The sequence below is a fragment of the Homo sapiens genome, chromosome 20 (genome assembly GCF_000001405.40).
Source record: "Homo sapiens chromosome 20, GRCh38.p14 Primary Assembly".
Lineage (NCBI taxonomy): Eukaryota > Metazoa > Chordata > Mammalia > Primates > Hominidae > Homo > Homo sapiens.
In genome coordinates, this window is record NC_000020.11 from 15217718 (window position 1) to 15230460 (window position 12743).

The 12743-nt window shown below is 36.9% G+C and overlaps 1 protein-coding gene across 5 annotated transcripts in view; it reads left to right on the forward strand.

Annotated features, from left to right (window-relative positions):
- MACROD2 (mono-ADP ribosylhydrolase 2) overlaps nt 1–12743 on the forward strand; it is a 2057682-nt gene that overhangs the window by 1222202 nt on the left and 822737 nt on the right. For all 5 annotated transcript variants that reach the window (NM_001351661.2, NM_001351663.2, NM_080676.6 and 2 more), the window contains one exon: nt 12223–12344. In NM_001351661.2, the coding sequence (NP_001338590.1) occupies nt 12223–12344 (122 nt within the window). The remainder of the gene's footprint in view (nt 1–12222; nt 12345–12743) is intronic.

Here is a 12743-nt window from a genome sequence, read left to right on the forward strand (position 1 = left end):
ATGACAACAGTATATTATCAGGGAGCCAGTCACCAGATATTATTTATTTTCAGGTTTTTTTTTCTTTTTAAACCTGATACTCATCAAAGCCTGCATGCAAACATTTCATTCTTGGCATCTGAATTACTGTGGAAAGGTCTCTTGGTTTTCTTCGAGTGCTTTTACATTAATGGTTTCTACTAAATAATCTCGCAGAGGCACATGTTGACCTCTGTGCTCTTAGTCTCGTAATGAATTATGTTGGAAAGGCTCAGTGATATATTCTCTTCCCCTCACTGATTCTATGTCAGGCCCAAAATAGGCAAAGAAAGGGAAAAGTTAAAAAAGAAAACCTGTCTTGATACTGAACAAAATGAGTTATTTTTTATTGTCCTTTTTTCTTTTACTCTTAACTAACACTTCTCTTATTCTTGTCCCCTTTCTGCATCTTATTTCTATGTTGAGGATAGGCTCTCAGAAGACCTGACAAGCACTGCAGTAACTCACACCCCAATTCTATTTCCATTCTATTTCCCTATTTCTGTTACTAACTCAGTCACTTAGAGTCAAGCTCCTTGAAATCAATTTTTACACTTTGTTTTCTCTTTTCCCATCCACTCTAAAACCATCATCACAGTTTGCCAGTTCAACTCTAAGATTCTTGAACGGTCTGCCTCTCTTTTTCACGCCTTGGACTCTGCTTTCATGTCAGCTGATCTCTTCCCTTTTGTAGCCTCCAATTCATTCTGCAAAGGAGTAAGCATGAGGAAGTAAAACTACTGTCATGATTTTGCATGGGAATTCATGTTCCCAAAGAATATCTCTTGGCTTTACTCCATGATGTCTTATAGAATTCTTGTTTAAAAAGCTGCTCCCACCCTTCTCTTCTCCATGTGAATCAGTGTATCTGATAGCAGTCATGTTGGACTTTTTTCCTTGAGTCTTTGCAAACTCTTTAAGAAGTGCTTTTCCATTCTCAAGAGGATGGTGAGTGGAAATACCCCGATTATCTCAAAGAAGAGGAAAAAGCAATTACTCCGGATTTTGAAGATTGAGCAGAAAACAATTGCATTTAGTTAAAATTACTCTTAAAAATCCCAGCACTTTGGGAGGTCGAGGTGGGTGGATCATGAGGTCAGGAGATCAACACCATCCTGGCTAACATGGTGAAACACTTGTCTCTACTAAAAATACAAAAAATTAGCCAGGCGTGGCGGCGTGTGCCTGTAGTCCCAGCTACTCAGGAGGCTGAGGCAGGAGAATGGCATGAACCCGGGAGGCGGAGCTTGCAGTGATCCGAGATAGCGCCACTGCACTCCAGCCTGGGCGACAGAGCGAGACTCCGTCTCAAAAAAAAAAAATCCCTTAACCTACATAAAAGTGAAATTGGTGACATACCAGTTCAAAATAAGTTCAATACAAATGATTCTCCCTATGGAGTCGAAAGACATCACTGTTTCTTCAAACTTGAGGACAGATAAAATAGTTAATGATGTTGCATTGGAAAAGTAAATATTATTTATTAGATCTGCACAGTGAGAAGCTATAATGTAGCAGTTCTGAAAGTGTCACCAGAAAGTTTGAAAATAGCTCTAGTGCACAGTAAACCCATTATCTCTGAAAAGTAGGTGAGGATATTGACTGATCTACTGGGCCCAGCAATGTAAGCCACCCTGCTCCTACTCCTGCTGTAACACTCACTCATTTAAATAAATTTAAATAAATTGCCCTTATTATTTAAATATTTTATCATTCTCAGTCCACCAACACTTTGTTCATATTGTTGAATTTAAATGAGTTGAACTTGTAAAATAATGTAACTTCACAGTATAGAAATTTTCACATATTCTTTTGGCTAGAAGTTATGTTAATGTAATTCTTGAAGTAGCCTCTTCTCATTTGTCTTTTCTAAATACAACAGTTCCTTAAGAAAATGAGATGTAGGGCCTGGAGTGAAGACGTAGAGCCTAGGTTTAGTGCAGAGCTGTCCTATGAATGGATCAATTTCAGAGAGAAATCAGATCCGCTTTATTTTGGTGGAGAGGTGGATTCATTATATCTAAATGCTACTTTTTAAAGAAATGTGAATAGTGAGCCCATTAATTCCTTCAGAGGGTGTCTAGAAAGTCTGTCATGTTCCATTTTGTGATTTGAGAGCCAAAACCTATCTCTAAAACAAAGCAGATTTATTCTAAAATGAGCAATATGCAGATGAGGGAAATGACAGGTTTAGAGAATGCACTTATTTAATCATCTCCTGAAAAAAAAAAAAAAAAGGCAAAGGGATCACTGCACATTTTTTTTTTTTTTCTGTTTGAGTCTTTGGATAGAATCTCATAGCTTTTGTTAAAGAGTGTGATAGTGTTAGAATCTTATTTTTAAATCTTCCATAGTGCAGTCATTAGGAGATTTTTGATGAGGTTTTGATGAGTCTTTCTATGAAGAAACAGCTTTTCAGCTCTATAAAATGTATGCTGAATGAGCTGAACCAGTATAACTAGATGCCATTGCTTGCCCAGTCTAGATTATCCCTTCTACCTCATTGTTTTCTCTAATCTGGTACATCATTCCTGATTAGATTGATTATATCGGGCCAACTTTTATTTAATCACCCACAGATTCACTAATTATCCATTAAGCAACTGTTCCCATAGAATTCTTGGCTTTGTGGGAAACACAGACATAGATTTGTCATATTCCCTGCAGTGGAAGCATCGAGTCACTGCAGGAAAACAGAAATCACAGAATCATGACATTGCAGAGTTAGCAAGAATCTTGGGACATAGGTAGTCATATCGGATTGCCTTGAATGATAGGGCATTCCCTGCTGCCTAAGGCAGGATGCCATATGATTGGAGAGCTCTGACCGATGGAAACTTCTCAGAAATGTTCGTGTTCAAAGTCATATTAATGGTTTATCGTAAGTGATATTATAGAGCAACAGAGGTGAAGTGAATTCAAACTCTGTTCATATAGAGGAATTTATGGATCTCATCTTTAAGGAAGCGAAATTCTTCACAGTGTAGGAATCTCCATGAGAAACTATTTCATAAGAAGAATTTTCAGAGAAAAAAATGGGGGGGGCTCTCCAGAAATGGGGAAAGTCCTGTAGTCAGAAAAGCACAGACCTGTTTGGTGAGAGTCATGGAACAATTGCCCTATGCACTGGCACATAGTGGGTTCTCACTAAATATGTATTATATAAAGGACAGAATTAATGACTGAGTGGATGATTGCAGAAGAGTCTTTCTTGTCCAGGCGTGTGGTGGCACGGGAGTGGTAAAGGAATGCTGACGACAAGCACATGCAACCTCAGCATCAGCCTGCGTGTCCCGACATTGACCCATCTGCACATTTCAGTCCCAGCCTAGATTCTGCATTTGTAGAATTACCCTTGCAGTGGGGACTAATATTCATTCATTTTACCCACAGTATAGAGTCTTTAAAGCCGATTTTCTCCTCACATCTTAATAAAATACTGGTTTTGCATCTCTCTGAAAAGGCTGCAAGTTGCTGACATCTCTTGAACCAGAACAAAGATCTTATTATCATCTTCCTTGAAACAGTCATATTGTCTATTTGGACCTTCACCTCCTCTCACCCCTGCTATTGAAGCACTAGAAATGCCATGCATTTGACTCACTTCCTTCTGGGATGTGTTCTCTTTGGGTTCATTCTAAAATGACATGAAATGTTGGAATTCTGCAGATAATTCAGCTTCCCACATTTCCTCTGAGACCCCTCTCTGTTGGAAATAACACTATTGTGATGCAGATGCCCCCAATACCCTGTGGAATCTCAAAACTATCAATGGCTGACCACAGGATATCCCTTTTCCATGAGTTTCAATCTGTGTTATTAAAAAGGGACCCTTACATGTAGGAGTCCAATTTGAAACAGGATACAGTCCCATCAACAAGGTCAGTCTCAAATAGATTTGTGCAGGAAAGGGAGAGCTGATAAAAAATTAAACATGAGCTTTGCCTCTTTCTTTTTTAATATAGAGGATGGCATTTTGGTAGAAATTGATTGAATGATATTTTATAACGTGGGCTTAAAACATCACAGCTTTGAAGTCAATGAAGAATAAAACATATTATCAGCACATGATGCCCCAAACATAATAACATTATCACATTCTCATGTAAAAATGGAACCAACTTTCCAGTTGAGCTGAAAGTATGCATTTGAGCTTTGGCAGTGCATTCTGTATGCCTCTATCAACTGTAAAATGCAAATGTTTAGTTGCTGTGTATGTAACCTTAGACATAGATATCTTATTTAGAGAACCATAGCATCAAGGAGGGTGAGAGAGGTAAACCAAAAGCCCTTTGTAACCAAGAACAGTGAAAAACAGCAATGGGTCAACTCACAAACTCAAAGGAAACTAGATTTAAAAATAACATTGTGAATTCTAGTTTATCCCAAACTCATGCAAAAAGTTGAATGACTATAGTCTTTCCGGACATAGACAGAAATCCTTCATACAGCTGAAGAAATGTATGAGAGTAATCCGAATTTAGAAAAATGCTGCAGGGTGTGTTGAAGTACATTTTCAATGATATCTTCGGCAGATTGAAAAGGAACATCTTATAGACAATTGATTGTTTCTTGAAATATAATAAAAACAAACTTCGAAATGTGTATATGAAAACACTGACCTATGTGGAAAGAAGAGGCAGCATTTACTTTGTAATGCTATCAGGTGGTAATTCAATTTTCTGTTAACTGAACTTCAAGTATTCTGTTTCAGGTCATAGATTGGTGGTGCTTATATAAATTGGCCAGTAAGATTTACAAATAGTACCTTTAGTGCTCAGTTTTGTGGTTGTATCTCTAAAAAAGAAAATCAGTTTAATTCCATGCATTGGTTTTCTTCTTAAAATTCATGCAATTTGATATGATTGACAAGGCACAGCATTATTATGCAGTCTGTTAGAAGGACCGATTATGCTTATGAATACAAGAATGGAGTGAATGAAAGCAATGTGTAATTGATTCTACACTTGGTCTGACTGTTCATTAACAGTTTGAATGTAGCGCAGTTGCTTCTCAAATGGAAAATGATGAGAGCAACCTATCTGTGCTCTCTCATTTGTTTTAAAATTCATTATGCTAATATTTTTTCACAGAATGTTTTTGCTGCATTTGTTTTGCCAAGGATAAGTCTGATTGAATCTTTGTAAATAATTCTACTGCTTTCAATATTTATTTGGCATTTCAATCACATATTTTTCAATTTACACTTTTGGAAATGAAAGTAGGCTCTCCCCCACACCTCTTTCAAAGAAAACCTTATATCCTATCCTCCTTTTCTCTATAATTCAGACTAATTTCCCAGGATAAATAGGAGTGGGGGAGTGCAAAGTGGTGCGATAGTTATCTCTTCAGAACAAAGAAGCTGATTTACAGACTGATTGATTTCAGAAATAGATGAGCAAAAACAGATTCCATTTGTCTTGCCACACTTTAGTCTGATGAAGCACAAAAGGGCCTGCCATCTCATTTTCCATAGCTCTTCAAGAGGTTGCATTTGAAATGCTGATTAAATGTACAAATCGCATTGCTGTTTTCGTGGCTTTCCTGAGTGCTGTAGGAGAGGGCTTCAGTGCACAAAGGCTGCTTTTCCTTTCTTGAATGTGGAGCTGGACACTTTAGGGAAATAACATCACTTTCACCACTCATAGGAAGTTATGATGCTAATTCTGTGACAGCCATGTCTGCCCTTTCCTCTGTCCACAGGTTCCTGCCACATTATAAAACAAAAGAACTAAACCAGCACTGTGCCAGTCATTTCTATCTAGGGGCTACAATTACATTCATTATTCCCAAATTAGATTGTGTTTACAATTAATACTAATCTCATGTTTCAATCTTTGGCTACCTCAGATTTTTATTAAATTAGCAGTTGACTGATTGAGATAATAGGTCTGAGAACTCCATACTGGTAAAGTTTTAATCATCTCAGCCTTTTCTCTGATTTCTTATTTATCTGCCACCTGACTTTGTACTTGGGGCTCACCAAAATAAAGCGCCAACTGTCTGGGGAGTCCTGCATTATAGCTGTTTTAAGATATGTTCAAAATTTTTTTACTGCTCTTCCCATCAAGAGGTGAGGTCTAGGTCCTTCCATCTGAAAAAATATGAGATCTTTGTGACATTGGCAACCAGTAGAATATTGTGGTAGTGATGCTGTGTGACTCCCAAGCCTGTGTTATAAAAGGCAACATGGCGTCCACCTGCTGGTACACTTGCTCTTAGAGCCCTGAGTTGTCATTTAAGTTATCCAACTGCTCTGAGGCTGCTGTGCAGTGAGGAAACCCAAACTAGCCCACATGGAGAGTCCTTGAGACCACATGAAGAGAGAAAGATGTCAGTCCAGCCTTTGGCTCCCACAGTCCTCCACTGCTCCAGTGCCAGCCACCAGTTGACTACAACCAAATGAGAGACCCTAAGCCAAACCCCCTAGCCAAGCCATTGCAGAAGGTCTGACCCATAGAAGCCAAAAGAAATAATAGGATGGTGGTTGCTGTGTTAAACCACCACGTTTTGTGGTAATTTGTTGCATATTGCAACAAATCTAACCACAAAGCTAACCAGAATTTGCATGTATACAAGCATGAGGCTAAAGTAATGAGATTCATGACAAACATGCCAAAATGTATACATACAAATGTATGCCATTCATTTCTTTCCATAAGGAGTCACCTTGAGAGGAACTTACTCATAATCATATTGTCACTGTGATGTTGTCATTGTGATGCTGTCATTATCTCCCCACATTGATCTCTGACTTTGGGCACATTATTCTGTCTCTCTGGGTTGCTTGAAAAGTAGGCGTAGATTAAATTTTTACATAGTCTTTTCTTAATCTCTAAAAATTCTTGACAATTATTCAAAATTCTTTGGTTGTTGAGGTAACCAAAGGAGGAGATAACCAAAGGAGGAGCATAAGAAGTATGCTCTGGCCGGGTGTGGTGGCTCACGCCTTTAGTCCCAACACTTTGGGAGACCAAGGTGGGTGGATCACTTGAGGTCAGCCTGGCCAACATGGTAAGTTCGAGACCAGCCTGGCCAACATGGTAAAACCCTGTGTCTACTAAAAATACAAATATTAGCTTGGTGTGATGGTGCATGCCTGTAATCCCAGCTACTGAAGAGGCTGAGGCAGGAGAATTGCTTGAATCCAGGAAGCAGAGGTTGCAGTGAGCCAAGATTGCACCACTGCACTGCAGCCTGGGCAACAGAGCGAGACTTTGTCTTAAAAAAAAAAAAAAAAAAAAGTATGCTCCTATCCTACGTTACCACTTTAATATGTAAACTGATGTCACACTCAGTGTACATATTAAAATTATAGTAAAACTTTAATGGTTGATGCTGGCCATGTAGGAAAAAAATGCCCTCTTGTTCATCATTTAAACCCTATATTTATCTGAAAATAATTTTTTAATATAAAGAAATTATTGAGGCTAGGAAAATAAAAGAAAGATATACCTAGGGGAGTCATTCTGTTAAATTCCTTGAAATTATATCTATCTTTTTCTTTAAGAGTATTTTTATATGTGTAATGATATAAGCTCATCTTTGGAAAGCACATTAATGATCTTTACATTTTATAAGGACAGGGTAAATGGGATTCCAGAATATGGATTAATAAATCATATACTCTTTGTTTAAATGTTTTATTTAATTTTTGAATAGCTAATGTATTCACATAACTTGAACATCAAAAAATAAAAGCAGTGAAAAGTTTCCTCCCCATATTCCCTCCCCCATCTTCATAGTTTCTGTCACTCTTCTAGTAGGTAACCACTCTTATTAACTGCTAGTTTATCCTTCCAGAGATGTTTTATGCATGTAGCTAAAACAAACCTATATTCTTCCCTACATCGGTAGAGGAATTTTTTTTAACACTAATGTTAGTGTGCTTTTCTGAATTTTATTTTTATGTTGTAATGTGTCTTGGGTATCTTTCCATATGCATACATGAAGGCCTTCTTTGTCTATTTTACAGAAGCCTAGCATTTCATAGTATAAATGAACCATCGTTTTACTAACATTGTTTAGTCTGTCCCCTATGGTTGGACATTTAGCTGTTTCCCATCTTGCCTTATTATATACAATGTTTCAGGGAATGACCTGTGTAAATACTGTTCTGCATATGGGCGAGCATATTATCTTTAGGATATATTCCTAGGAATAGAACTGCTGGATCAAAAGGAGTCTACATTTGTAATTTTGTTAGATATGATTAAATCATTTTCTCTGGAGATAGTGCCAATTTGCACTTCGCTGTATAATCGTGTTTGGGAAACGTGAACCATGATTGATGCTCATTTATCTGGACAAAAATGAATTAAACTTCTTAGAATCTTTAGCTCAGTTCCTGATAGACGTGTACAGAAGGAGATGCACTTGAGAGCTGCAAAAAAAAATGTTATTCTGATTTATTCCTTCTTTTGACTTTGAATACTGAAGGCCAAAGAGGAGAGTGACTTGCAGAAGGTCACGTAGCTGATTAGTGACAGATCTGGGACTTACAACCTGTAGTCAGATCTTAGGATTGGTGTTCTTTCCACATGAGTAAAGAGATGGTAACTTTCTGTCATTCCTGCCTGTGTGCTGAGGACTCCTTGTACACTGCTGCTGTTGATGATGACATTTACCATTTCTTGAGCCTTCCTATGTATCAGACTTTGAATTTAATACTTCTATTTACATTATCTTATTTATACCAAGGGATTCAAAACCCATGTGCAAGATAAAGCATTGTCCATAGACTTTGCATCCATGTATATTACATATATATGTCCACTATGAAGATGCTACAGTGTTTAATAAAACATAAATCAATACAAATCATCATTAAAATTATAATAGCTGTTTGTCTCTAACATGTTCTCAATGGATTTTGAAACTATTGTGAAAAATTAGTCATATTTTGATATTAAAAAGAATTCTTATAGTCAAAAGCCTATGAGCTGCTTAACCATGTCTCAGATCACTTTTACCTGCCCAGATATTCTATTTTCCATCCCTCTCCATTATAAGGTTAGATATTAATAATGCTACACAACACAGAAGAGACCACAGAGATAATCTAAGCAGGAGATTTATTTTATAGGTAAGGAAAAAGGCAAGCACCACTGAAAATGATGGGTTTATCTAAGGCACTTGATGACTAAGGGGCTGGAGCTGGAATTCAAAGACAGGCCTCCTGACTGAATTTAACTACTCCACACTGAGAAAATGAGAAACTCAGTGTGGAGTAGTTACTCATAAGTACTATGGACAATTAAAATAATGAAGGAGATTTCCTGTCTAGCCTCATATTGATTCACCTCCAGCTTTGTGGATCTGAGAGGTCATCATGTTGGTCGATAATAACATTCGATCTTGGATGCTATAAATTTAATATAGAGCATAAATACAAAGATCAATATTTTAATGCTGAGGAGGCTCATTTATTGGCTGTTTATCCTCAGTCCTTTAAATGAAATGGAGAACTAAAGAAATGCAAGGAATAATTTTTCATAAATTTCATTTAAGTTTTATAGACGATGATGACTAAAGGAAAGCAAAGGAAAAGTTTATGATGTCACTATTTCCTACACTTATGGGCTTTTCTCTCTTTCTCTTTTTCTTTCTCTCCCTTATCCCTCCCTCCCTTCTCCCTCCCTCTTTCCCTTCCTCCCTCGCCCCCGTTAATATCTCTAAGCCTCTTCTTTACTTTGCTCAATGTTTTTTATTACTCCAGATAAGAGGCACTTATTCTTGATCTTCTCCATCCACAAAATAAGAGAACCATGGTCATGTCCCGTTGTTCTTTCATGTATTAAGTGTTTGATGTTTAGAAGCAGTGGGGAAGGGGCTAAAAAGCATAGACTTTGTCTTCAACAATGGGAACAAGATTGCCAAAATGGCCCTGAAACAACATTTCCCAAAGGTGAAATTGTGGAAATCTAGTCCTATAAGGTGTTCTTCAAAGCACAGGTTTCAATCGTCAACTGTATTTAGGAAACAGAGCATTTTATATTCTCCTCCTGGAGACGCACAACTCCTTACGGCATTTTAAATGCCCACTGAAGTCTTGCAGTAAGGTAACTGGTGTGATAGAATTTCACCTGTTTTTTTTTTTTTTTTTTTTTTTTTTCAAATTTAATTGACCTTTAAACCCATATCATACCGAACCCATTTGGGGAAATGCTGCTTTATAGAATTGTGTGTTATTCTGGTTCAATTTTTCTGTCATTTGTATCCATCAGAAAACTTAGAATATCATAGTTGGGTATAAATAACAAGTAGCCACCAGAGGGGAAATAAAGTAAGGCTAAGCACCATCTCCTTCCTTTATGGATTCTAACATTTATTAAAGAAACTAAAGTACAATATTCATATAAATATTTACTATGGTACAGGACTTGCATTGCTTGAATTTATGCAACTCTTGCTTGTTACTTTTATTACAAAAAAATGATATCACTGTGTGCTATTTTTTTTCCTGAGTACACCTCAAGCCCATTTATCCTTCACTTCTATATTGTAGTGGTTCTCACTTTAAAAGTAAGTTTACCTGTGAAACAATATCTGCGTGAACTTATTAGTGAAGTTTTGTATGCCTCCTTTGATCACATGAGATGAGCCCCTCTTAATATCGGCTGACAAGGGTTTAAATACTGTTTCAGAATTAATCATGGAAACCAATGCTTTAGGTCTTTTCTCAAACATCAAATAGTATCAACATTTAGTGGGCAACCAACAGAGATTTTTCTTTTCTTTTTTCCTTCTTTCTTTTTTTTTTTTTTTTTTTGAGATGGAGTCTCACTCCGTCACTAGGTTGTGAGGTGCAGCGGTGCAATCTCGGCTCACTGCAAGCTCCGACTCCCTGGTTCAAGCGATTCTCCTGCCTCAGTCTCCCGAGTAGCTGGGACTACAGGCACACACCACCACGCCTGGCTAATTTTTGTATTTTTAGTAGAGATGGGATTTCATCATGTTGGCCAGGATGGTCTCGATTTCCTAACCTCATGATCCGCCCACCTCAGCCTCCCAAAGTGCTGGGATTACAGGCGTGGTCCACTGCACCTGGCGAGATTTTTCTTTTAGTGACTTATTTGCTGCTATTGAAATGCCATATGCATTTTTTAAACTGTACCATATTCTTATTTTTGTATACTCTTATTCTTCTGTCATTCTTGTTGGAATTGAGTGGTAACGATTAGTCAACACAAATAATTTCGTTATAATACTCCAATTACATTAGACTGAATTTGTCTTTGTGATGAAAGTTGATTAGTTGTTATGATTTACACCAATGAAAGGGACTAATAATTCAGTTCACCGATAAGACTGGGAAGCAAGACTTACAAGGCATTTTCAAGTAAATTTGATTAAAACGTGGGGTTTTTCTTCTGCTCTTTCTTAAAATGAGGACAGTCCCCTTTCACTACATTCCTAAAATTAAAAGTTTACGTGTGTGTAGAGATTAAAAGAATAGCACAATGGCTTGTTGTGTATAAAAAATATCAAGTTTTGTATTTTTCAACATAAATAGGAGTTGAACAGTATAGATTGCATTAAAATGTTTGAATGTTTTAATAATACAATAAAATAGATAATTAACTATTAACCTATTAAAATAGGTATGAACTATTAGCATACCTTATGTAGGTGAGGATTGGTAGGCTATACTTCAAAATTGGCAGGAATGTTTTGCAATTATTCTTCTCAAGGTTATTAATGATTATTAAAAATTCTCTTGGTATTTTTTTTCAGAAACTTGCTCTTCTTTATTGTGTACAATGCCTGAAGGTTGTCTTAGAAGTAAGCTAGGCTAGCACTGGCTCTTCCCGTGCCAATCCAGATGTTCCTTTTGCAGGCAATTACTCCTCAGTTTATTTCCCCAGTTTATTTCCCGCCAAGGATTTGTCTTTTTCCAGGGAGCCAATTATGCACGTCTTATACTATAATCTGTGTCACTTGAATCTGACCAAAAACTATGAAACAATTCACTTGTTGGGGATTCCTTTTCACAATTATCATTTTCCTGGGAAATTGCCTACTTTAGGAGGTTGTGCTACTTAAGATCTTCTACCAGAGAAATATTTGCGTCGCCAATGTATTGCTTAGCTTGCTTGTCTCCAGGCTCTAACACAAATACCTAAAATAAATAAAGTATTAATTATGTAAAAAAAGTGAAAAATACCTCGCTTATCCTCTTTTTCCTTCCTTTTGTATTTACAGATGTCATCCATACTGTAGGGCCAATAGCCAGGGGCCATATTAATGGTTCCCACAAGGAAGACCTTGCAAATTGCTATAAATCATCTCTGAAGCTCGTGAAAGAAAATAACATCCGATCAGTTGTAAGTAATTTTATGTTTTTTATTTCTCACTCTTTTTCAACCTTTATGCTTTAGTAATCTGTCTTGTCTAAAGAGAGGTAGGAAACCATTTCCAAACTTTTGAGAACTAAGTTTAAGGATCTTAGTAGCCGATTTGGTTATCATGACTCTAATCTTTGATGTGCTATAAATATTTGCTAAATTTTTCATGATGTTTCAGAATTTAAAACTATAAAACCTCAGAACTGGATTTATCTTATCTACTTTTTCCTCTTTATTTTGCCACTTACTTTCTTTTGGAGAAAGTAAATATTATGGTAGTGGCCAGCAGATTTAAAGAAGGAAAATAGCAAGTGCTGAGTTTGTTATGATAGCGCACATTTAATATATATTGGTTGTATGCTTGTGCATTCTGGAGCC